This window comes from Homo sapiens, chromosome 9, assembly GCF_000001405.40.
Source record: "Homo sapiens chromosome 9, GRCh38.p14 Primary Assembly".
In the NCBI taxonomy this organism is placed as follows: domain Eukaryota; kingdom Metazoa; phylum Chordata; class Mammalia; order Primates; family Hominidae; genus Homo; species Homo sapiens.
In genome coordinates this window covers 128094432-128119049 of record NC_000009.12, presented here as the reverse complement: position 1 = coordinate 128119049, position 24618 = coordinate 128094432, and the positions used below count along the sequence as shown (strand labels likewise).

Here is a 24618-nt window from a genome sequence, read left to right as displayed (position 1 = left end):
TGCACCCCTCCATCCCTGTACCCCATCCCTGTACCCCTCCGTCCCCCATCCCTGCACCCCTCCATCCCTGTACCCCTCCATCCTTCCATCCCTGCACCCTCCATCCCTGTACCCCTCCATCCCTCCATCCCTGTACCCCTCCATCCTTCCATCCCTGCACCCTCCATCCCTGTACCCTTCCATCCCTCCATCCCTGCATCCCTCTGTCCCTGCACCCCTCCATCCCTCCATCCCTGCACCCCTCCTTCGTTGTACCCCTCCATCCTCCATCTCTGCATCCCTGCACCCCTCCATCCTCCATCCCTGTACCCTTACATTCTCCATCCCTGCATTCCTCCATCGCAGCATCCCTGCATGCCTCCGTTCTCTGCATCCCTCCACCCCAGTATCCCTGCACCTCTTCATCCCTCCATTCCTGCATCCCTCTATTTTTCCATCCCTCCATTCCTGTATCCCTGTGCCCTCCATCCTCCATCCCAGCATCCCTCCATCCCTGCTCCCCACTCTCACTTCCCTTCCCTTCACAGACAGGCTTTTCCTGCCATCCTCAGACCCCACCCAGGGTTACCTGATGCCTTTCCAGCTGCACACGGGGACTGACTCACCTCTCTCTTTCTCAGTCCCAAAGTCCCGAAAGAGAGCATCTGATGTGGTCAGCTTGTGACAAGGCGTCCACCTTCTGTCCATGACATGGAGGCCAGGGGAAGGTCTCACTGCCCAGCACCCCACCCTGTGCTCCCAGGCCTTTTGAATGTTCCTCCTGCTCAGCCCAGTGACTGCGGGCTGTGGCTCCTCCTCCAGCCTCCCCTCGAGGTCCTGGTCTTACTTAGGAGGCCCCGGGTGTAGATGCCTTCCCACCCACCAGGCATTGCCCCTTTTCCTGGCTTCACAGACTCGGGAATAAAGTTTCCTTCTGTTTCCCCTCTTGCAGAAGGAGATCCGGTTGGCAGCTAAACCGCGCTGGGAACAGGGGCCTGAGTCCTGGACTAGGGCTCTTTCCCCGGGGCTGCTGCAGATGGGGAGGAGCCTACACCCGCCTCCCGAGTGCTAATCAGACCTGACAGGCTGGAGAATGGCCAGTCAGCCTGAGGCCACCGCGGGACACCACCTAGGCCCAGCTTCTCCCCGTGAGTATCTCTCTCCCAAGAGGTAACAACTCCACTTCAGTTTCCCCAATGTTTCTCCGTCAGACTTCTTGGCGTGTTTTCCCGCAGCCACCAGAGGGCGCCAGAGCCCGCCAAGCCTCGTAGGAGATGGCAACAGGGCCTGCTGCTGCCACCTAGCGGCCAATTCCGGGAATGAATCTCGGCACGCTCATTACCCAGCGACTCTGCCCATCTGTAAGTAAAATGGGCTTAGCTGTAAGGGTCCAAAGATGAGTGGCTAGGAAAAAACATGTCTCTTGAGGTTGGGCACAGTGGCTCATCCCTGTAAGCCCGGCACTTCAGGAGGCTGAGGTGGGAGGGTCACCTGAGCCCAGGAGTTTGAGGCTGCAGTGAGGTTATGATTGTCCCACTGCACCCCAGCCTGAGTGACAAAGTGAGACCCTCTCAAAAAAAAAAAAAAAAGAAGAAGAAATGTCTCTTCTTAGGAACGGGCCCCAAGCCAGGATTCCATGGCCCATTAGTGCCATCCTCAGGTCACGGCATGGCCCCTGTGGTCATTTTTTCTTTCTTTGTTTAAAAAATAGAGGCCGGGGAGGTTGCAGCGAGCCGAGATTGCGCCACTTGCCCTCCAGCCTGGGCAACAGAGCAAGACTCCGTCTCAAAAAAAAAAAAAAAAAGAGGCCAGGAGCAGTGGCTCACGCCTGTAATCCCAGCACTTTGGGAGGGTGAGGCGGGTGGATCACTTGAGGTCAGGAGTTTGAGAGAGCAGCCTGCCAACATGGCGAAACCCTGTTTCTACTAAAAATACAAAAATTAGCCGGGTCTGGTGGTGGATGCCTGTAATCCCAGCTACTCAGGAGGATGAGGCAGGAGAATCGCTTGAATCTGGGAGATGGAGGCTGCAGTGAGCCAAGACTGTGCCACTGTATTCCAGCCTGGGCGACAGAGGGAGACTTCATCTCTAAACAAATAAATAATAAAACATAGAGACAGGTTCTTGCTATGTTGGCCAGGTTGGTCTGAAATTCCTGGCCTCAAGCAATCCTTCCGCCGTGGCCTCCCAAAGTGCTAGGATTGCAGGTGTGAGCCACCATTCACGGTCCCCTGTGGTCTTGATGGCTTCAGAAGGCCTGAGTTCAGGACCCGGCCGCTGCCCACTGTGCCCTTGGGCAAGCCCCTTACTGACTGGGAAATGGCATTAGTAAACCTCCGTGGGCGGGTAAGGCCAGGGCTGGGAAGGTGTTTTGGATGACGATACACAGAGTCAATATTCGAGGGGTCTATTTATGAAGCTGGTAGGGTCTGCTGTCTGTTCTCAGAACACATGCCCTGCTGTGTTCCCCACTGGCTTAAAGAGCTCCAGGTCAAGGACTCCAGGAAGTAAGAATGGAAAGAGTCCTGAGAACAGCAAGCTCCGTCCTCCCTGAGGAGAGTGAGCTCATGGGGAGGGTGCGGGTTTGCTTTTGTGTGTCTGTTCATTTTTTTTTTTTTTTGAGACAGGGTCTTGCTCTGTTGTCCAGGCTAGAGTATAGGGGCACGATCATGGCTCACTGCAGCCTTGAACTCCTAGGCTCAAGTGGTCCACCCACCTCAGCCTCCTGAATAACTGGGACCATGGGCACGTGCCACCATGCCTGGATAAGTTTTTGTAATGTTTTGTAGATATAGGGTCTCACTATGTTGCCCAGGCTGGTCTCCAACTCATGGGCTCAAGTGATCCTCCGGCCTCAGCCTCCCAAGTAGCTAGGACCACAGGTGTGTGCCACCACACCTGGCTAACTTTTGTATTTTTTGTAGAGATGGGGTCTCACTGTGTTGCCCAAGCTGGTCTCCAACTCCCGGGTTCAAGCGATCTGCCTGCCTTAGCCTCCCAAAGTGCTGGGATTACAGGCATGAGCCGCGGCTCCCAGCCATTTGTGGTGTTGGAAGTCACCAAGTGTGTGGTTATTGGTTGCAGCTGCCCCAGGACACTCATACACAGATTTAAGCCCGGTGTAGTCAGGGAAGAGAAACAGCGATGGGGCATGTGGTGACCTGGGGAAGTCCCAGGGTTTCCAGCCTGTGCCAGGTTCCTCATCTGTAAGATGAGGGGGTGGGAGGCTGGGCTCTTCAGTTCAGCCAGGGGTGCCCCGTACTGACTAGCATGGGTGGGGCCAGCTCCGTCTCTCATCGGCCTCAACAACTGCCATGGGAGATAACGGCTCCTCCTGGGCCACGGGGCTGTGCTGGTGGGTGATAGCAAATGACCAAGAGAACCATGTCCTGCGGCTGTTCCCTGGCCTGCCCCTGCGTTCAGAGGAGCTGAGAGCAGGAGGCCTAGGTTTATCTTGCCCCTCGGGGAACTGGGGCAGGCCTGGGGCCCTCCCTGGCCTCAGTTTACCCATCTGCAGGATGGAGGTGCTATCATACCATGCCCTTCCTGCTGCCCGCTCCTGGCCAGCCCAGGTCACGTGGCCTGCTGCTGCTGCTGCTGCAGAGAGCAAGGTCCACACCTGGGCGGCCGGGCCCAGCACACCCGCCCCACCTGTTTCCACCCTTCCCCTACTTTCCAACGCACTCAGACCGGTGAAATCTGGACTAGGGCGGCACAGGGTGAGGCCCAGGTGAGAACAGGGCTTCCGTGTCAACAGAGCTGCTTTGAATCTGTTTCACAGTGACCCTTTATGTGAAGCAGAACAGCCGCTTCCGCAGTGAGCTGTCAGAAGGCGTCGTGCCTGTCTTGCTAGTGGGGAAACTGAGGCTCAGAGAGGCAGAAGACTTGCCCAAGATCACACCACCGGGACCCAGGATTCAAGCGCAGGCCTGCCCAGGCTCTCTGTGGCCTCCTGGCTGCGAGGAGGCAGCCAGGGACCAGGTGCCACCCTTCTGAGGTGAGGCAAGGAATGCCTGTCCCTTGGGCACGTCTAACTTGGTGAAGGTCCCACGGGTGGGTTGTGGCATGGTTCCAGCTTGCCGGGTCCGATGTGGGCAGCAGCTCTCTGCCTTGCCCCAAGTTCCTGGTGGGCGGCCCCAGCAGAGCCCGCCGCAGCTTCACTCCCCTGCGTGCCACCTGCCAGTCGGGGGTCCACTGCATCCTAGGTCCTGGGCAAGTCCCCTCCCCTCTTGAAACTTTAGTTTCCTCCCCTGTGAAATGGGGACGTGGCGGTGGTGGCACCTCCTACACCTGCTGAGAGCTAAGTGAAGTCGTGCGTGAGCAGTGCCCCTGCGAGGGGGCCCACCGGACCACACGGCTCAAGTGGCTCTGGATTTCCTCGCAGACACCTGAGATCCCAGGCCCGAGAGGATGAAGGCGGGATTACCTGGAGCGTGTCTGAATGCTGGAGGAAGAAGGGCAGCTGGGAGATGAAGCTGTCAGGATGGGCCGCATCCCATTTCCTGCCTCGTTTCAGTTCAACTTTCCAACAGACCTCCCTGGCTCGTCTTGCTCTTCTCTAATGGACAAACAAACAGGCTCAGAGAGGTGGTGTGACTTGCCCAAGGTCACTCAGCTTGGATGCTATGGAACAGGGACGTCCACTGTCCCAGTCTGTTTATGGGAAGCCGCTCTGCAACTGTCCTGACCCACCACATGCCCCACCGCTGTTTCTCTTGCCCTGACCCCTTGTTCCCTGGACCAGGGTGGCACAGCTCCAGGCTCTTGGGCCCTTCCCGAGGGCAGGCACCTGTGACTGTGTCCCCAAAGACCTGAGTGGCTGAGGGGGCCCCACAGAGCTTGGACTTCCTGGAGGACAAGGAGGGGTCTGCCAGCCACCCCCACCACGCCCGCCCCAGGGCTCCCCTGGAGCTTCCATGCCAGCCGGACTCAGGTGGGTCTGGAGGAGCACCGTGCCTCCAATCAGACCTTGAGATGTGCCCCCTGCCCCCACTGTGCCCTCCCCTGCCCAGGAGTCTGGTTGCAAACCCTGATTAAGGGGATTTTATCTCCACCAGAGGGCCAGTAGGTGGGAAGTAGCTTAAACAATGCAGGTTTATAATCTCACAGTTCTGGAGGTCAAGAGTCTGAAATGGGCCTCATGGGGCTAAAACCAAGGTGTCTGCAGGGCTGTGTTCCTTCTGGAGGCTCCAGGGCAGGAAGGGGAGGATCCACTTCTGTGCCTTTCCAGCTTCTAGAGGCTGCCTGCGTTCCTTGGCTCGTGGCCCCTTCCTCCACCTTCAAGCCAGCAGCGGAGGCCTGAGTCCTTCTCATGCCATCTCTCTGTTCTCTCTCCTGCCTCCTCCTCCACACTGAAGGACCCCTGTGATCACACTGGCCCCCCCACCGGATGACCCAGGATAATCCATCTCCCTGTTTGAAGGTCGGCTGATTAGCAACCTTCATTCCATCTGCCTCCTTCATTCCCCCTGGCCATGTAATGGGATTCACAGCTTCTGGGGATTAGGACATGGACATCTTGTGGCGGGGGCATAATTCTGTCGACGACACCAAGAAACACTTGGATGTTAAGGATTCACCGAACACTGTTCAGGCTCCAGGTGCTGGGAGCAGCAGTGAACAAAGCCAACAGACACTGCCACCCTCAAGGAGTTCACGTTCATGGGCGAGGGAACAGATGAGAAACCCGGCAATGAAAGTAAGTAGCATAATTGACTTGAAAAGTGCCGGGGAGAAAGAGAAGATGGATGGAGAATGACACCTGGCCCCTTCTCTATTTCTTTATTTGTTTCACTCTTGTTGCCCAGGCTGGAGTGCAATGGCACAATCTCAGCTCACTGCGACCTCTGCCTCCCAGCTTCAAGTGATTCTGCTGCCTCAGCCTCCCAAGTAGCTTGGATTACAGGCATGCACGCCCAGCTCATTTTTTTTTTTTTTTTTTTTAGTAGAGACGGGGTTTACACCATGTTGGCCAGGCTGGTCTCAAACTCGTGACCTCAGGTGATCCACCTGCATCGGCCTCCCAAAGTGCTGGGATTACAGGCATGAGCCACCGTGCCCAGCTCCCCTTCTCTATTTCTAAGGTGACCCAGATTCCTTTACTGCTTTCTGGCAAATCCACCTCTGGCCAGGCAGTAGGCCGGCAACGCAGGGCTTGAAGGCCATAATGGGGACGTTTGTCTAATGGTGAGAAAGGAAACACTGGAAGGTTTTTGCTTCCCTTTTTAAAAAATTCAGGTATGGCCGGGCACGGTGGCTCACACCTGTAATCCCAGCACTTTGGGAGGCCAAGGTAGGCTGATCACCTGCGGTGAAGAGTTCAAGACCAGCCTGGCCAACATGGTGAAACCCCATCTGTACTAAAAATACAAAAATTAGCTGGGCGTGGTGGCAGACACCTGTAATCCCAGCTACTCAGGAGGCTGAGGCAGGAGAATTGCTTGAACCTGGGAGGCAGAGGTTGCAGTGAGCCGAGATCATACCATTGCACTCCAGCCTGGGCAACAAGAGTGAACCTCCATCACAAAAAACAAACAACAAAAAAAATCAGGTATAATTACATACAGTGAAACATATGGTGACTCAAGTACACAGTTCAGTGTTTTTTTTGTTTTTGTTTTTTTTTAAGATGGACTCTTGCTCTGTCGCCCAGGCTGGAGTTCAGTGGCGCGATCTTGGCTCACTGCAACCTCTGTCTTCCAGGTTCAAGCAATTCTGCCTCAGCCTCCCAAGTAGCTGGGACTACAAGTGCACGCCACCATGCCTGGCTAATTTTTGTATTTTTAATAGAGATGGGGTTTTTTTTTCTTTCTTTTTTTTTTTTTTTGAGACAGGGTCTCACTCTGTCACCCAGGCTGGAGTGCAGTGTCACAATCTCGGCTCACTGCAACCTCTGCCTCTTGGGTTCAAGCAATTCTTCTGCCTCAGCCTCCTGAGTAGCTGGTAGCTGGGACTATAGGCACGTGCCACCACACCCAGTTAATTTTTTGTATTTTTAGTAGAGATGGGGTTTCACCGGGTTAGCCAGGATGGTCTCAATCTCTTGACCTCGTGATCTGCCCGTTTTGGTCTCCCAAAGTGATGGGATTACAGGCGTGAGCCACCGCGCCAGGCTGAGATGGGGTTTCACCACGTTGGCCAGGCTGGTCTGGAACTCCTGACCTCAGGTGATCCGCCTGCCTTGGACTCCCAAAGTGCTGGGATTACAGACGTGAGCCACCGTGCCCGGCCAGTTCTATGAGTTTTGATGAATGTGTCCTGCTTCTTCCCAGGCTCCACCATCTCTTCCCCTAAAGGCAACCACCATTCTGATTTCTCTCACCAAAGACTGGAAAAATATCCCAATACCTGGATGTATGCCTCACGTGTCCCGCTGGCCCCAGCACCCAGGTATAGTTAGTTACTGCTGTGCCTGGCTTCACTCTCACTTTTTTTTTTTTTTTCTTTTTTTGAGACATAGTCTCGCTCTGTAGCCCAGGCTGGAGTGCAGTGTGGCACAATCTCAGCTCACTGCAACCTTCACCTCCCAGGTTCAAGCGATTCTCCTGCCTCAGCCTCTCGAGTAGCTGCGACTACAGGTGCCCACCACCACACCTGGCTAATTTTTGTATTTTTAGTAGAGATGGGGTTTCACCTTGTTGGCCAGGCTGGTCTCGAACTCCTGACCTCAAGTGATCCACCTGCCTCAGCCTCCCAAGGTGCTGGGATTGCAGGCCGGCCTTACCTGGTATGGTTTTTAGGTTCATGTTGATGCCTGGAGTTTCAGTAATTCCCTCCCATTCGTTGCTGAGTAGCACTGCAACACATGCAGGCAGCTATTTGGGGATCTTTTCACCTGTTGATGGGTGTCTGGACTGTTTCCAGTTTTTGGCTGTTACAAATGAAGCCTCTGTGAGCCACGTACAAGTTCTTCTGTGGATGTTTTCATTTAGGGAAAGGGGTAAATAGGAGTGGAAGTGCTGGGTCACAGGGCAAATGTCCATTTGAGTTTATTAGAAACAATTCTCCAAAATGATTGGCATTTTACCTTGTACTAGCAGAGTCTAGGAGTGTGGCTGCTCCCAGATTCTCATCAAACTACAGTGCTGACATCTTTAGTTCTAGGCCTTCTAGTGTGGATGCACTGGTATCTTGTTAAATGCTTTTAACTGTTTTGGTAGAGATGGGGCCTTGCTGTATTGCATAGTCTGGTCTTGAACACCTGGCCTCAAGTGATCTCCAGCCTCACCCTCCCGAAGTGCTGGGATTACAGGTGTGAGCCACTGCTCTGGGCCTCATTCAGTGTTTTGCTTCTCCCTGACAACTAATGGAGTTAAGCTCGTTTTCATGTTTATTGGCCATTAAGTCATCTTGCTTTTGGAAGTGCCAATTGTTAACTGGCTTGTCCTCTTCTTTTTGCCTTACACAGTTAATACATGCTGGAGATTACATGTACTGCAAAGATTTTCTCCTAGCCGGTGACTTGTCTTTTTCGTTTTTGTTTCTGTTTTTTTTTTTTTCTTTTTTTTTCTTTTCTTTTTTTCTGAGATGGAGTCTCCTCGCTCTATCGCCCAGGCTGGAGTGCAGTGGCATGATCTCAGCTCACTGAAACCACTGCCTCCCGGGTTCACGTGATTGTCCTGTCTCAGCCTCCCGAGTAGCTGGGATTACAGGCATGCGCCACCAAGCACAGCTAATTTTTGTATTTTTAGTAGAGATGGGGTTTTGCCATGTTGGCCAGGCTGGTCTTAAACTCCTGACCTCAGGTGATCCGCCCACCTCGGTCTCCCAAAGTGCTGGGATTACAGGCGTGAGCCACCGCGCCTGCCCAGCTTATCTATTCATTGGAGGATCTGAGTGACATGAGAAACTTAGGTTTTCTTTTTTTGAGACAGAGTCTTACTCTGTCGCCCAGGCTGGAGTGCAGTGGCATGATCTCGGCTCACCACAACCTCTGCCTCCTGGGTTCAAGCCATTCTCCTGCCTCAGCCTCTGGAGTAGCTGGGATTATAGGCACCTGTCATCACACCTGGCTATCCACTTAGGTTTTCAAAGGGCCCCTTGGTCTTGGGGTGGAGAGTGAAGGGAAGCAGGGGGAAGAAGTTTAGGTCTTGCAATCATCCAGGTGAGACATGATATTGTCTTTGATCAGTGGCAGGGGTGGAGGTCGGGAGAAGCGGCCAGAGAGCAGATCTATTTTGCGGGTGGGGCTGACGGTATTTGCTGGTGGACTGCCCTGGAACCAGAGGGAAGTACAGAGTCAGGTTGACTACAAGGTGTTTGGCTTAAGTTCGTAGAAGAAAGGAGTTGCCATTTGCTGGCATGAGGAAAATGAAGAAGCAGATTTTGGGAGGAAAATGAAGGGTTCGGCTTCTGACATGCTGAACTCGAGGTGCTGTTTAAGTGGATGTGGATTTCACAGTTGTACTGATGAAGCTGGAATTCGTTCAAGTATCAAAGGAGTGTCATCTAAATATAGATATTGAAGGTAATCCTCAGTCAGATGAGGTTACTGAGAGGGTGTGAGGAGGCAGGAGCGGGGTGAGGCTGGGAGGGGCAGCTGGGGGGAGGGGAGAGAAGCCCAGCGACGTCCTCGGTGTCTGTGAAGATGGCACTTCCGGCGGAGGGAGAGATCCCCCGCACCCTGCCTGAGACAGGCTGAGGAACGACCCTACACAGCAACTCAGGGCACCCCAAATCGAACACGCAACCATTAAAGAGGGAGCGCCTCTAAGAAGCCGAAAGGGGGCACCACCAGGCTCCAGAGGGGAAAACAGGGCGCATTTTCTAACATGTCAGCACCCCCAGACCACCCAGGCCCCCGTCAGAAAAATACTGGCTCCATGATCAGCTTTGAAACAACTTTATTAGAAGGCTGCTTTAAATGACAACTTCTAACGTCCAATTCTTTCTTAATTTGCTTTTTGACGACTCCAGTTATATGTTCATATATAACAATTTTTGCATTGATCTTTGCATCCTATTGAAGATTTCCTCATCAGGTCATTCTGGTGGAATGGAAGTGCAACCGTGAGGTCGCCAGTTGGCCGGCATTGTTAAGCAAGGGCAGCAGAAGGCTGGGAGGGACGGAGCCAGTCCCCCACCCTCTCCTCCAGCCCCCGCCCACCACAAATTCACAGTGAGAGGCACCTCACTGCCTTGACATTCAGAAAAGAGTGAAATAAAGAAACCCTCGCAGCGCAGGAAATAACTGGATTCCACCTTCAAGGTTATTGAGGTTCCTCCCTCTCTCTCCACGCCCCCAGTCAAACCCTGAAATCCTAAGGCTGGGGGCAAGCCCTTCCCCAACCTGCCAAAGGAAAGGAGCCAGGGCTGCTGCCTTCTGGCCGCTTTTCTGCCTCCAGTCCCAAAAGGAATTTCTCTGGACAGATGTGACTGCAGCGGCCCAAGGCCCCCCTTCTCCTCCTCCTCCCATCCCACTGGGCGGGCTTGGGAAGGTACAATCAACCATGAACATAAATATGAATAAAAAATGAACTTGAAAATGACAAGCTATTAATTAAACAAATCTATAAAAATAGTTAGGACATAACTCTGTTCAAATAAATACAAAATAAATAGGTTCCAAGCAGTGACACAAGTGGAATGTGGGGCTGGTCCCGCTGCGCCCCTGCTGGGGTTGGACAGGAACCCCCAGGGCGTCAGAACAGACTCTGAGCAGTCAGCCAAGCTCCTGCTCCCTCGTCTTCCTCTGGAAGCACAGAAGTCGCTCATTTGTCCGGCTTGTCCTTCTGGACAAAACCCTTTTCCCAACAGTCCATAATTAAGGCCTCCAACACCTTTTCCTTCCCTCCCCAGAACACACAAACGCTCTGCCCTTCGCCCTCAAACATGGTGCTCCACTGCCCTCATGCCACAGTGGGGACAGTGAGTTTGGTTCTGAGGTGGGGCCCATCCTGACAGGGTCCAGGCCAGCTCAGAGCACCATGAGCCCCAGCACTTGCCTTCTGTGCAGCCAGGCCAGGCAGCCCGAGCCCCCTGCACTCCCAAGCATGCCCGAGAGCCCCAGCCATCAGCAGGGCTCAGATGCCAGTGACCACAAGGCCAGATCCTTTCCTCTTCCTTCACAGCCAAGTTGGCGTCAATGCTGTAGGTTGGGAAGTCAGGCCTGGGAGGCCACGTGACCTCACCTTTCATCATGGATTATGGGATTGGACGAGGGGGTGGGATGTGGGCTGTAGCCCTCCTCCCACCTTACCTCAGCAGACAGGCAGGCAGCAAGAGGGCACAGGGAGATGCACGGCAGACCAGAGGGCAGGGGCCGTGGCCAACAGCTGGCTGCAAGGGTGAAATGGAAGAACTAAGCCGGCCTCCAGGCTCCAAGCTCGCTATTGGCAGGCACTGCAGAAAATGTCCTGTCCTTACACATGTGAGCCCGGAGCCTGCTGACCCTGGACCCTAAGGAATGCCTGTGGTCTTCGCTGGAACCAACAGGAGGGTCTGCTGGGGTCAGCAGGACAAGCCCTGGGCCTGCCAGCTCTCCCCACCCTCCCTGCGGGTGCGTCTAGGGTTTTCACAGCTTGGCTCGAGACAGCTTAGTGTTGGCACATTCACAGAATGAGATGGCTGCACACCCCAGGCTGCGGCCCAGGATCAGCGAGTCCACTGCCGGGCGGCCCTCCCCCCGTCACCGCGACTGCACGCCCAGGGTGATCTTCAGGTTCTCGTAGACCACGTAGCTGATGCTCACAGCTGGGATGACCTTCATGAAGTTGGGGGCCAGCCCCCTGTACAGCCCGAAGGCCCCCTCGGTCCGCAGGATATGTTTGAAGAGGCTGCTCATGGTCACCTCCGGAGCGCCCTCAATAGAGGCTGCAGGATGGAGGCCACCAGTCAGATGCTTCTGTCCGCTCCCCCCGACCTCCCAGGGGACTGTCCAGGGCCAGCCTTACCTTGCGCCTGCATCCGGGTCCTGACTAGGGCCAGGGGGTAGCTGGCCAGCTGGCCACAGGTACTGGACATGGTGCCACAGGCCAGGAGCACAAACACGCCGGGGTCCGCGCTGTTCACTGCATAGTGCTGCAGCCAGGCATTCTTGAGCGTCTAGAAGGAGAAGGGAGCATGGGATAAGCCCTAGGAAGGGCTAGTGAGGCAGCAAGAGACGGGGCTGTTACTGGGTCCTCAGGCCACTGGAACCCGACTGCCGCGCCTGGGGCCTGGCTGGGCTCCTAGCCTGGCTGCCCTGTTTCTGCTGTCACTGGGAATTCCGGGACAAGGTAGAGGGAACACCTCCTTCCCCACACAGAAGGGCTGACTTCTGGGGTCTGTCTAGAGTGTGCTGGGGCCTGTGAGCTCCTGGGGGCCACCCTGCTCTGGGGATCTGCCTGCTGAGCCTCTGGGGATGCAGAGCCTGGGTGCAGGGCTCACAGGAGCTGCTGGGGTCTGCCAGGGGCAGGCAGGGTGAAGGAAAGCTGCAGTAAACAGAAGAGCAGGAAGGAGGCGCAGTCTTTGATGCAGTTTCCTGCACTAACCACGCGTCCGTCAAGGAGGGAGACAGCAGGTGGAGGTGTGCTGGGAGGAGGTTTCTAAATCTGTCCAGCTTGGGCCTCACCTCGTAGACTGCAAGGTCGATGCCGGCATAGGGGATGATGCCCAGCATGTTGGGGACATAGCCTTTGTAGAAGGCGGCCACCCCCTCTCTGGCCAGGATCCTCCTGGCGCAGTCCAGCATTCCTGAGTACTGGCCTGTCTTCCGCAGCGCCATCCGGGTCTTCAGGACCTGCACAACAGGAGCAGCGGGACGCGTGAGCACAGCCTGTGCCTCTCCCCAGTCCTGTGCCCACTGCCCGCCCCAGGACCCAGGCGGCCCCTCACCTCCATTGGGTAGATGCTGCTCTGGGCGATGGCCCCTGCCAAGGACCCTGCCACAAGCCTCTCGTGAATCCTCAGAGTCTCCTGGTCACTACCAACAAGGCGCTTGATCTAGAACCAGGAACAAACAAACCACCTGATATACCCAGAGGTTGGGGCACCTGCTGCTGCCCCTCCCTTCCAGGAGTCCCCGGCACATTTTATGCTACCCAGAAATGTAAGGAACTCGTGGTGAGCCTGGGCCTCCTGCCTCGCCCTGCTGTCCCTGGGGTACCACGGCTGGCTCCAAGTGTCAGGGAGCTCAGCCCAGGGAAAGCCAGCAAGTCCAGGCAGTGAGTAGCCACTGGCCGGTGACCCTCCTGAGGAGCTGGGTCCTCACCTGCTCATAGGCCATGAATTTGATGGCTGATTCGGGGGCAATTTTGAGGACGTTGATGCCATTGCCCCGCCAGAGTGACCTGGCCCCTCCTTCTCGAATCATCTGAGTGAAGCCACCAACGATGCCCATGTTGTTGCTGCGGGAGGCATGGACCTGGGAGGGAGGACCGAACAGTCAGACGGACCCGGGGGGCCACAGGCTGCCTCACCCGGCCAAGAGCCTCTGCTGGCCAACCGGCTGCGGCCAAAGGGAAGGCCCTTTCTTCCGTGCATTTTGAAGACAAGCTTGGAATCATGAGCCCAAAGTAACCCAACACGGCTAAGTGAGGCTCAGCTCCATCGTACTGGGTATCTGCTGGTTGCCAGCCTTGTCCTGAACATCTCCATAAAGATGACTTAAAAAAAAAATCAAGGCTGGGCGCGGTGGCTCATGCCTGTAATCCCAGCACTTTGGGAGGCTGAGGCAGGTGGATCACTTGAGTTCAGGAGTTCGAGACCAGCCCAGCCAACATGGTGAAACCCCGTCTCTACTAAAAATACAAAAGTTAGCCGGGCGTGGTGGCAGGCACCAGTAATCCCAGCTACTTGGGAGGCTAAGGCAGGAGAATCGCTTGAATCCGGGAGGTGGAGGTTGCAGTGAGCCAAGATCGCGCCCCTGTACTCCAGCCTGGGCGACAGAGCGAGACTCTATTTTAGAAAAAAAAAAAAAAAAAAAAAAAAAAAAGGCCGGGAGTGTTGGCTCACATCTGTAATCCCAGCACTTTGGGAGGCCGAGGTGGGCAGATCACATGAGGTGAGGAGTGTGAGACCAGCCTGGCCAACATGATGAAACCTCGTCTCTACTAAAAATACAAAAATTAGCCTGGGGTGATAGCGCATGCCTGTAATAATCCCAGCTACTAGGGAGGCTGAGGCTGTAGAATTGCTTGAACCCAGTGAGGGAGGTTGCAGTGAGCTGAGATCATACCACTGTACTCTAGCCTGGGTGACAGAGCGAGACTGTCTCAAAAAATATAATAATAATAATAATAATAATAATAATAATAATAATTTTTAAAAATCAAAGTTTTTCATTATTAAAAAAACTTAAGACATATTAAAAAATAGAATGAATGCCCACTCAGCTTAGACAATGATCAAACCACAGCCAACCTCTCTCTCCTGCTGCCCCACCCATGCTGGTTTAAAGGCACACGCCAGGCATTTGATTTCACCCAAGGCCTGCTTTCAATCTCTACAACATTCCTGATAATTCTGCTAAAAAAACAAAAGGATGAGGCAGTTGTTCAAGCCCCTATTTTCACAGAGGAGGGGAAGTCCTGGGAGGGAAAGGGGTTTGCTCAAGGCCACAAGAGGGAGGGAGGCAGCTGTGGTGGTGCCCTGGGCAGAGTCCAAGCCCGAGGCATTCTGCCCTGAACCACCTGCTTCCTTTGTCTCTGTGCAACACAGGGAGGCCCAGCAAGGCAGACTGGGGAGAGAAAGGAGGCAGCTCTTCCAAGCCGGGCTCCTGGCACAAGAAGTACTAGGTACGGGCAAGGGGACAAGTGGTGGCCAGTCACCATTCAGACATCAAAGTCCACCAGTGTCGTTGTGTGGGTCAGTTTCACAATTCTGCCTTGACATCAGCCCAGCTTATCTCTGCTGTGTGGACATGGATTTGCGTACCTGGCCAAGGTAATGGCGTGGCTTCCCATTGGCATCTGGGTCAGGTGAGGCTCTGCTGGCCCCAGTGTGGGGTAACGTACACAAAACGTACTTACAGAAATTGGTTCCTGCCTCACCCCAGTCTCGCTAGCTTCACCTGTCCACATTATGCCCCTGTAATGTGATGCCTCAGATAAAATTAGATCCGCTCTGCACAAAATGTCACCTACAGTGACATTTTGGTACCCCCTGTCTGAGCAATAATTCTAGTCTAATTTATTGGGTTAGAAAAGTTTGGGCCCAAAGCAGGCACCAGCCAGAGAAAGGGAAAACTAGCCAAGCAGCATCCCCCAGGTGGAAACTGGCCCCCCAGGGGTCTGGGGCCTTTTCCCTACATACCTGCATGAGCACCTTGAGCCTGTCCAGGGGGGCCGTGCAGGTTCTGGATACGGCCCCTGCCCCACCTCCTGCCACCAGGTGTCTCCACCACATCCCCGTCTGCCTCTCCTCCACTGTGAACTCATCCGGGACCGTTAGATTCTCACCCACATCAAAGATCTGTGAGGAAAGATGGCACAAGCCTGACTCAGGACCCTTGGGGCAAGGCTGCTGGCACCTGTCGCCGTCTACCCTCTAGCACGGCTCCAGGCCAGGGACCACAGGACAGGGAGAAGGCCAAGGACTCTGGGTGGGAAGCGGGCTGGGGTCTTTCCCTTCACTCTGAAGGTAGCAGAGCTCTCACCCCTGCTGGGGTCCTGGAGAGGCACAGGTATAGAACCTCAGCTGAACACAGCCGGGAGGTGCCGGTTAGAAAACCATTCACCGGCCCTTTCCAATGCTGCCAGGGAGCTACTGCAAGAACAGCTCACAGGCCTGTGTGAGATTGCCAGGCTGGCTGCGCTGAAGGGATCAGGCCGGGGTGAGAGCCGTCTGAGATCTCACGTGTAACCAGATCACGCTGGCAGAACATTATGCAACGCCTCAGCAAACACGAGGGCTCGCTGCCTGCGTAACCTTTCTCCGGGTGACATCCGGGCTGATCAGAGCCACCTCTGCTCTGATCCCAGGGCTAAAGGCCAGAGCTCTGGGCCAGCTACTCCCACCCCTGGAGCTGTCCATTTAATCTCACCTAACAAGCCCTGGCCTGGCACTGCGAGAGGCAGATGAGGAGCGCCTCTGGCCTCCCCTCCTGGAGCGGATGGTCCAGAGGGACAGGACTGCACACCAGGACTCAGAGAGGGACACGCCAAGCATGAAGGGCTCGGGGCAGAGACCAGCACAGACTCACATTTCTGAACATGAAACCACAGTGGACGGGGGCGAGAGGGCAGCAAATGTGTGACCGTGGGGACACCTCACAGCTCTGCCTAGGTGTTCTCTGTAGAGTAGCTTCTGCCCCAGCCCCCTCCCACCGGGGGGAAGGCTCATACCAGCTTTGGGAGAACAGACAGCATCATGGGAAGGGGTATTTGAAGTGGCCCATGAGGAGCAGGGAGCAGGGAGCATGTGGGGACGGAGGGTGTTCCTGGAAGAGGAAGCCTGTGTGTGTGAACGATGGGGCTGTTCAGGTTGGCTGGAGTGCCAGAACATGGGGAACATGCGGACAGCTCTACTGGGCTGGCAGAAGAGGGGACAGTCTCCTGTGGAAGAGGAGGTGGCTGGAAAGCCCCAGCTGCACTCTGGGATGGGGACGACTGGGTGACTCTGGGCTAAGGGTCCCTGGGAGCAGATGAGGGCCCTGGGCACGTGGGGCTCACCGTGGAATGCTTCCAGTAGAGGATGATCTCGGGGATGTTTTCCACGGGGTGGAGGAGGTGGTAGTCTCTCCACTCGTTCCAGTCAATGGTCATCGTGCCGTTTTTATCCATGCTGCAAGACAGAGGCGAGGCTGCCCACGTGCCCACATGCCCATCCGCCAGCTGCATCCCCCCACCTCCCAGTGAGCCAAGGGCAGGCATTCGGATGCCCAGAAACCACACGAGGTGCCTCTGCCCCCAGGAGAAAGAGCAGGGGGCTCCACACCCCACTTAGCACAACAATGGCAATATAATGGCCCACAAGAATCCCGCTCTGATCAGGCATGGAAGTCAAGGGAGGCAGTCATGAGCGACATGGATACTTACTAGGTGACAGGGCCCCAGAAATGGCCCGTTCGTATTCTGACAGACAGACAAAGGATGCGGAGGAGAGAGCAGAAACAACACGCATAAGTGCTCGGAGCCATGTTAGTGAAGCAAGCACACACCCAGAGACAGGGGCACAGCACGGCACGAGACGAGCCCGCCACAGCAGCTGAGCCCAGGGCTGCTGTCCCCGAGGACCAGCCAGTGTTCAGACCGCAGGGTTTCCGGAAGGTCCAGCCAGGACAGACGGCAACTCCCAGGGCTGTTCCATGAGATTTCCTGGCAGCCGCCCCGCACCAGGGAGCTATCTTTTGGGGCAGCGCCTCTGACTAAAGTGTTAAGTGCAAGTTACCAGCATGGGGAAGAAATTCACCTGGGAACGAGGCTGCAGTGTGAGCCCCCCGCCCCGCCCCGCCCCCTCCACACGCACAGGTGCTCCTTGCTGGCCTTTTACCTATTTGAACCACCCCCAAATTAGTTTTCCCTTCATGGGCCACTGGCCGATGGGCAAAATTCCAGGTGATCTGTGATTCTTCCAATGAAAGCAGGCCTGCAACCCTGGGGAGGGGCTGGCCTCCCACAGGGGTTACTTATTCATCCTTTCAAACCACGAGAAGGCCAAGTTCAGGGTCAGCCCAGGGAATGGCATCGGAGGGTTAGTCTCAGAGCCTTCCCTTCATCACACTTAAACCAAACACAGAGGCTGGCTGAGCACTCACCTCTTGAGAATTTTTTCTGCCTGCTGTTCAGATATCTTGACTCCCAAGTCCCGCAGGGACTGCATGATCTCCTGCGCGTCAATGCGTCCTGCAAGAACAGAGGCCGTGAGCAGGAGCCAGGCGCACGGGGAGGCCCGAGGCTGGACCGGCCACAGCTCTGAAGGCAACACTTACCATCATTCTTTTTGTCCAAACTCTTAAACACCAGCCTCAGCTTCTTCTCATGATCTTGGAGATAATGGACAAATTCTTCAAAGTCTAGCTGCCCATCAAGGTCCTTATCTCCAGCTTGTACAATTTTCTAGAAAAGAAAGGTAACATTTTGTCTTTTGGCTCCTGGACCAGCCTTTCCTTGTCCCTTGTGGGGCCCCATCCCCAGGCAATGACTTCACTAATTGCGAGCAGAGCTGGCCCCAAGGACCCAAGATGCTTCTGCTCCACTCTCAGAGCCACCATGGCAATCGACTTACATGCCAGAGCCACCACCTAGAACCCCAGGTGCTGGCCAGAACCCAGGCAAGGGCCAATCTTGTCTCCCTCTCAAGCAGAGAGGAAACAAGGAGCCTGGGAAGAGCCCTCCGGACAGAGGCCGACAGGGACAGCTGGGCACTTTCTCAGTCTGAAGACCTGCGTGCCGTACAGCCAGGGTGAGCAGGGTGGCTTCGCTGCAGCGCCGTCCCTGGGTCCCTGGACCCAGGCTTCAACCACACATGCTCCCTGCTGAGACTTGGGGATGGCCATGGAGTCCAGTTTCTGACAGGAACTCTGCAGCTCGCTGTTTCTCTCCTAAAACTGGCATTGGTCCGAGAATAATTTGGTGGGCAGGTGAAAATCGGGGGCAGAGCCAGACTCTGCCACAGCACCCGAGGCCGGGGAAGTGTAAGGAGCCAAGGGCATGTGTATGATGGTACTGCCAGTCCCTGCTCTCAGGGAAGCCAGGTGATAGAGCTGCCCTGGCTCTCCCGCTCACTCACTGAAAAGCACTTTAGTGTCCCAAGAAGGCTTTGAGAGACTGTTCCTTGGCAATGAGGTTCCAAAAGTAACCCCCCCCGCCCCCGCCTCCCAGGAGGTGGGCTTTGTTCAGCAGCTGTTAATGGTTGGCAACTGGGACAGCTCCACGAGAGCACACATTTCCCCAGCACCTAGCACCGGCCGCAGGGCGTGCCAAATGCTTTACTTCTAGCAACCCACTTACCCCCCTCGCAAACAGCTCTAGGAGGTAGGAAATGTCATTTCCCCCATTTTACAGAGAAGGAAACAGGAGTTCCGAGAGCCTAAACATTTACACAAGGTCAGACAGCTAGGGAAGTGGTGGGCGGGATGCAAGTTGGGCCGTGGTCCTCCCAAGCCGCCTCCCTGCACATCCTGCCGCCACCCTCAAGGCTAACCTTCAGAACATGGGGGATGAAAGTGAGTCACCCCAACTCAGCAACGCCCTGAATCCGGAACCCAAAACTGGGACCGAGAATCTCCCAAGGAAGATGGTATAGTCTTCCTGTGTCCTCCGGATTTCTCACTGGGAGAAATCAACTGACAGCCAGCTGGGGTTTGGAAATGGATGGCCCACTGGCTAGCTCGCGTCCTCAAAGGATCACCACCGCGCCTCTCTCTTAGACACACTACTGACAGCGCCTTGTGATTCCTCAGCTGCCAAAGGTGTCAGGGGCAGGGAGGCCTGAACAGATACCCCATGACCTGGCGCGATCAAAAGGCTAATGTGAGGGGCGTGGCTGGAATGTAGGACAGATGCAGGTACATATTTTATCTGCTGAGGTTACATTTAACTTCCTGTGGACATCTGTGCTCTCAGACAAGAGTGACATAAATCACCTATAGGGTGACTGCTCCAAATCTCTAACAGGAATGGAAATAGAGTGGACAAGCCATTTAGGCAGGAGGCGAACATCAGGCATGGAGCCCTCTGGGACCCAGCCGCCTGCTGCCAGGGTGAGCCACATGCCTCCCTGGGGTGGGTGCTGTCGCAGACACCCAGAGCAGAGGGTGTGCTCACCGCAGCTGGCTTCAACGCATTCTCAAAGTGCTTGCTTCTGCCTCACAGGGCCTGGGCCTCCTTCTGTCTCCTTCCTTGGATCTGCAAATCCCCCTTGGTGCACAGTGGGCACTGGGGGTAGCAGGGAAACTGATTAACCGAGAAGCCGAGGTGGCAAGGGGCCTCCGGACTCTGCAGCTCGGCTTCCTCACTTTCAGGGCAGACACAGGCCCTGTTCCACAGCGATGTCTGAGAGTCGAGAAGGCGGGAGGCTCCCTCACCCCCACACCAGGGACGGGCAGCTCCACCACGCAGCACCCTCAACTCCTGGGCCTCCCTGCCTTCTCCTCCCATGCACTACTGGCCTGCCCCCCAGGTCCCTTTCTGGCTCTGTACTTCTCAGGAACACCCCCCTCATTCCAGCAAAAGGAATTTCCTTTCTGAAAGTCCATTTCTCACAACAGCCTTCGCTGGAATTCCAGCCTTCCTGGGAAGTCACATGAAAACCGGTCACTCCTGTGACGTACACGTGCCGGCCATAGCCGCATGGCAATGGGAAAAAACTGCTACATTTCAGACATTCTTTCCTCTCAGTGGGGGATGGTTCATGCATGCTCAGCCATTCACTCAACAAATACCGGTTGAATGCGCCTCTCCCTTCCGCGCGGTCACCCCACAGACCTGCTTCCACTGGCGGTAGGTGGAGAATTCCTGGGAGGGGATGAAGACACTGAGCTTGAAAATGGACTTCAGCTCGGCAGGGAGCCCCTTCGACTCAAAGTACTGGAACTCGGTCTGGGCTTCCCCGATGACCGGCACATACAGGCACAGACAGAGCATGTTGGCGGCCTGCTGGGTGCTCCACTGCCCTCACCACCGGGAGCAAGTTCCCTAAATGCTGCCGGTCCCGGGAAACTTGCATAAGACAAGCCTGGCCTCAGCTGTCATTGGCTGCTTAAGCCCTGCCCTTTTACTTAATTGAAAAAAGAAAAAAGCCCTCCCACGGCAAGTCCTGCCAACAGCCAATGAACACAGAGCCCGGGGGAGAAGGTGGCATCAGGTTGCTCAAGTGAGAGGCACAAAGATCAGGGCTGACGTCACCGCTCCCTCCCTGCAGTTAACTCTTGGAGAAGAGGCCGGGTGGTGCGTTCTGCCTGCCTGGGTACCAGGTACAGAGCCCAAACAAACCTTCACCCTCTAGCTGCCAACCCCTTCAGATGAACAAACAGCCTATGGCTGCTTTCACACAAGGTCCCCAAACGTGTCACACAACAGTTTTTCTCCTTTTAGTAAATCATTCCCAACCAAAAAATCAGTAGTTGGAGAGAGACAGAGCTGATTGCCACTGCAAACGGGCCCAGTTCAGCTGTGAGGATAGGAGGCTGAGGGGTGGCCGAGAGCCAGGTGCCTAGCCACCCTGGAAAGTGGACCCCCCTATGGGCCCATGTATCCCACAGGGGAGCTGCCCTGGCCACACACGGCTCCAGGCACAGTTCTAGCTGGCTCCTGCTCCAGGGAACCTGCAGCCCTCCACAGCCCACATTGCATTGAAACCTCTTCCAGGCCATTCTGCAATGTGAGCACCAGCCTTCACCTAGGAGCCCCAGAGTGCCCAGGAGCTGACATGATGGGGTTGGTAAGAGGACACCATGCCAAAGGACTCCCCAGAAGCATCAATCTGGGGTCAGTCGAGGCCTCACATGAGACCCACAGTCTTCAACGCCCACGTCCGCTCAGAACACGTAGGAGCCCAGTCTTAGTCACAGCTAGAACTTTGCTGTTCAATACAGAAGCTTTTTAAATGTAAAGTCATAGCCAGGCGTGGTGGCACACGCCTGTAATCCCAGCTACTGGGGAGGCTGAGACACGAGAATTGCCTGAACCCAGGAGGCGGAGGTTGTACTGAGCCAGGATTGTGCCACTGCACTCCAGCCTGTGTGACAGAGTGAAACTGTGTCTCATGCAAAAAAGTAAATTCATTAAAATGACATGAAATTACAAACTCAGTTCCCCAGGATAGCCACGCATAGTCACTGGGCATTTCTGCCACAGCGGAAACTTCACTGGGCAACACAGCTCGAGAACGACCCTTTCAGGGCAGGACGACCCTCTCTGCAGGCCGGCCTGAATTCTCCACTCATTCCTTCCCCACAGATTCGTGCTGCGGAGGAAGAGACCACGTCACCAAGATGAGAACAGGCTCAGTCTCACCCTTGTTCCTTCTACAGTGCGCCACTTCCTAATATAGACTATATCTTCCCACTACCGGGATGGATAAAAATGGATAGTTATTACTTGGGGATCACAGAAGTAAAAGGACTTTTTAATGCACTAAAACGCTTGTTGTTAACTCGTAAAGAGGGTGTTACAAGATGTTGATACTTACACACAACATTATGAAACAGAGATTATGACAAGTGATATGACATTTGGGCCTTCTAACAGAGATCTGATAACGAGTCTGTGAGAACAGGTCTTGGGCTACCCTAGTGACGGATCCTATGAGGTCGCACTGGATTATCCAGGCAGATTCCTGCTCAGCCTCCGCTAAATCCATGACACTCAGCTATCTCTTAAGCTGCCCAATCCAGAATGTTCTGCCTTGGGCTATTTTAACACGCCTCTTATCTCTACCACCAGGGTCCTTGAAGGTAGAAGGCTCTTACTTCAAACCCTTGGACCTCCTTGTCTGGAAATAACCTCCTGCCTTGATCAAATAAGGTGCTTCATGAACAGCTTCCAAATGAGTGAATTAGCTCAGGGGGCTCTAAGACCCCAAGAAACAAACTTATAACCATGCTTGATGAAGGCCTATTTTTCTGAGCATCTGCAAATAGAGTTGTCAGGGCATTATATTCAAATGGACAAGATAATGTATCATTATTATTATTATTTTTGAGACAGACTGTCACTCTTGTCACCCAGGCTGGAGTGCAGTGGCACGATCTCGGCTTACTGCAACCTCTGCCTCCCAGGTTCAAGCGACTCTTGTGCCTCAGCCTCCCGAGTAGTTGAGATTATAGGCGCCCACCACCACGCCTGGCTGATTTTTGTATTTTTAGTAGAGACTAGGTTTTACCATGTTGGCCAGGCTGGTCTCCAACTCCTGGCCTCAAGTGATCTGCCTGCCTTGGCCTCCCAAAGTGCTAGGATTACAGGTATGAGCCACTGCGCCTAGCCTCTATTATTTTATTTTAAAGGAGGTTCACATTTATAAATAAAAGCTGAACCCTAAAATGCTGGTCTTTAGGAATGCTCACTCTACTTTATAAAATGAGATGTTGCCCTATTAAAAAAAATGCTGGTCTTCCTTTGTTAAATTATTGTTTGCTTCTGAAACTAAATTATACAGATCTGTTGAATATCTCATTTTAGTGATGACTGCAGTCATTCTAATATAAAAAAGCAAATATTTTGACTGAATAAGTTCAATTGGAGATTTCACTTTCTATTAAAGTATATTTTAAAAATAATTATGGCACATATTACTGTACCATTGAGTTTTATAATGTATTTAACAAAAGAAATCTGAGATTTGAAAATGATACTAAATAAAAGTGAAACCTGTATTCTTCTTCTTTTTTCTTTGTCTTTCCTAAGATGGAGTCTTGCTCTGTCGCCCAGGCTGGAGTGCAGTGGCGCGATCTTGGCTCACTACAACCTCCACCTCCTGGGTTCAAGCGATTCTCCTGCCTCAGCCTCCCGAGTAGCTGGGACTACAGGTGCCCACGAGCACACCCAGCTAATTTTTAAAAGGGTTCTAACTTATTTGCTGCTGTGACTGAGTCTCATGGAATGTCTTCATTGGATAAACTTCAATTGGCATTTGGTTTTTTAAATCATCCATCCTACTGAGTTTCACAGGTAACTCAAGACTCCATGTTCATATAAAAATGGAGAGTTCTACCCAAATAAGCCCATCTCTAGGTGCTAGTGTCCAGGACAACTGCTGTATTCCTGGAACTGCAGACTGTGGGGGCCCAGAGGGGCTCTGGGATCATCCCTTAATCTCCGAGTTGAGCAAACAGGCCTGGGAGAGGCGACCTGATTTGCCCAATTCCCAAAGCCTGTCAAGGGCAGGGCAGGGCCTTGCACCCAGGGTTCTTGTTACAACATCCACTTCAAACAGCACCCAAAACAGATTTTAGTATTCAGTTCCCAAAGGATGCCGGTAAGCCAGACAGTAGGTGATACCTCATACTGGAAGGCGGCAGGTGTGTGGGAAAGGTGTAACTTGAGCAAGTTGAGCCCTAGCTAAATACAACCAAAAACGGTGTTTGTGTCACAGCTTCTGAATGCCTCTGTGAGAACTAGATTATGGAGGAACTAAAGCAGGCCTCGGGTTTCAGCCCTGATGCTTCACACCGGCCTTCTTGACACTCCAAGATCTGGGCACAACGCGCATTGTGTGCGATGCCTCGCTGCTCTTTATTATTCTGACTTTGTGGCACAGACCCTCATCTGTTTCAGCTCCTCCGATGTCCATTCCTATGACTAGTATTCGGAAACAGTGACAGCAACACTAGGTCCCTTAGGATTCAGTGGCATCAGATTGCAATTAATCTATAAAGTAGCAGTTCCTCTCCTGAGCATCTTCTCACAGCAAATCTGCCAATGCCACCAAAAGCTTTCCTTGTTCTACCACTATGTTACATGCCAGAAGAAAGCAGGTGCTTCAGGTAAAGGCCGGAATACCATGAATAAGAACAGGGCAGGTACAGTGCCTCTGGGAGTGTAGCATTAGGTCAGAAAGTTCCTCTCCCCTCCTCTGCAATGACTCAGGCTGAGCCAGAAATATTAATATGAGGAAGCTTTGCCAGCATCCAGCCGCTCAAGCCCCACCCACCCTTAAGGCTCTCAAACCTCATTGGCGGCTGTGGCCACAGTGTCATTTGATGATCAGGTTGCCATGACAGCCTAGTGTAGCCAGTTTCCAATGAAACCTGCCTACACTTGGCAGTTACACACACAATAA

General features: G+C 54.0%; 1 protein-coding gene and 1 long non-coding RNA gene across 8 annotated transcripts in view, besides 5 other annotated features; one reads left to right on the top strand and one right to left on the bottom strand.

Moving 5' to 3' along the window:
• On the top strand, positions 316 to 7879 carry SLC25A25-AS1 (SLC25A25 antisense RNA 1). The gene is made up of 5 exons (NR_033374.1): positions 316 to 1127; positions 1215 to 1340; positions 3761 to 3976; positions 4364 to 5572; positions 6401 to 7879. It is a non-coding gene; the product is annotated as an SLC25A25 antisense RNA 1 (long non-coding RNA).
• Positions 3089 to 3138: an enhancer, noted in NCBI's record as "active region_29071". NCBI's record gives its function as "activates an Ori minimal core promoter by ATAC-STARR-seq in GM12878 lymphoblastoid cells {active_cell/tissue: GM12878}" and the evidence as "EXISTENCE:reporter gene assay evidence [ECO:0000049][PMID:35858748]".
• Positions 3166 to 3460: an enhancer, noted in NCBI's record as "tiled region #4689; K562 Activating DNase matched - State 5:Enh". NCBI's record gives its function as "activates a minimal TATA promoter and a strong SV40 promoter by Sharpr-MPRA in K562 cells {active_cell/tissue: K562}" and the evidence as "EXISTENCE:reporter gene assay evidence [ECO:0000049][PMID:27701403]".
• Positions 3166 to 3460: a silencer, noted in NCBI's record as "tiled region #4689; HepG2 Repressive non-DNase unmatched - State 5:Enh". NCBI's record gives its function as "weakly represses a minimal TATA promoter and a strong SV40 promoter by Sharpr-MPRA in HepG2 cells {active_cell/tissue: HepG2}" and the evidence as "EXISTENCE:reporter gene assay evidence [ECO:0000049][PMID:27701403]".
• Positions 9805 to 24618, bottom strand: part of SLC25A25 (solute carrier family 25 member 25) — a 41014-nt gene continuing 26200 nt past the window's right edge. For 2 of the 7 annotated variants that reach the window (NM_001330988.2, NM_001265614.3), the window contains exons 2-11: positions 17828 to 17954; positions 17654 to 17741; positions 16935 to 16970; positions 16569 to 16680; positions 15211 to 15369; positions 13169 to 13321; positions 12793 to 12900; positions 12530 to 12697; positions 11871 to 12021; positions 9805 to 11790 (exon numbers count right to left, since the gene is read on the bottom strand). In NM_001330988.2, coding sequence (NP_001317917.1) covers positions 11606 to 11790; positions 11871 to 12021; positions 12530 to 12697; positions 12793 to 12900; positions 13169 to 13321; positions 15211 to 15369; positions 16569 to 16680; positions 16935 to 16970; positions 17654 to 17741; positions 17828 to 17954 — 1287 coding nt within the window. In that variant the 3' untranslated portion in view covers positions 9805 to 11605. Of the gene's footprint in view, positions 11791 to 11870; positions 12022 to 12529; positions 12698 to 12792; positions 12901 to 13168; positions 13322 to 15210; positions 15370 to 16568; positions 16681 to 16934; positions 16971 to 17653; positions 17742 to 17827; positions 17955 to 20281; positions 20544 to 24618 lie in introns of those variants that run through there. The other 5 variants (NM_001006641.4, NM_001006642.4, NM_001387057.1 and 2 more) reach the window with 4 other exon arrangements.
• Positions 20031 to 20768: an enhancer, noted in NCBI's record as "NANOG-H3K27ac-H3K4me1 hESC enhancer chr9:130860561-130861298 (GRCh37/hg19 assembly coordinates)". NCBI's record gives its function as "activates a minimal SCP1, AML or CMV promoter by ChIP-STARR-seq in naive H9 embryonic stem cells {active_cell/tissue: H9 hESC(naive)}" and the evidence as "EXISTENCE:reporter gene assay evidence [ECO:0000049][PMID:30033119]".
• Positions 20769 to 21505: an enhancer, noted in NCBI's record as "NANOG-H3K27ac-H3K4me1 hESC enhancer chr9:130859824-130860560 (GRCh37/hg19 assembly coordinates)". NCBI's record gives its function as "activates a minimal SCP1, AML or CMV promoter by ChIP-STARR-seq in naive H9 embryonic stem cells {active_cell/tissue: H9 hESC(naive)}" and the evidence as "EXISTENCE:reporter gene assay evidence [ECO:0000049][PMID:30033119]".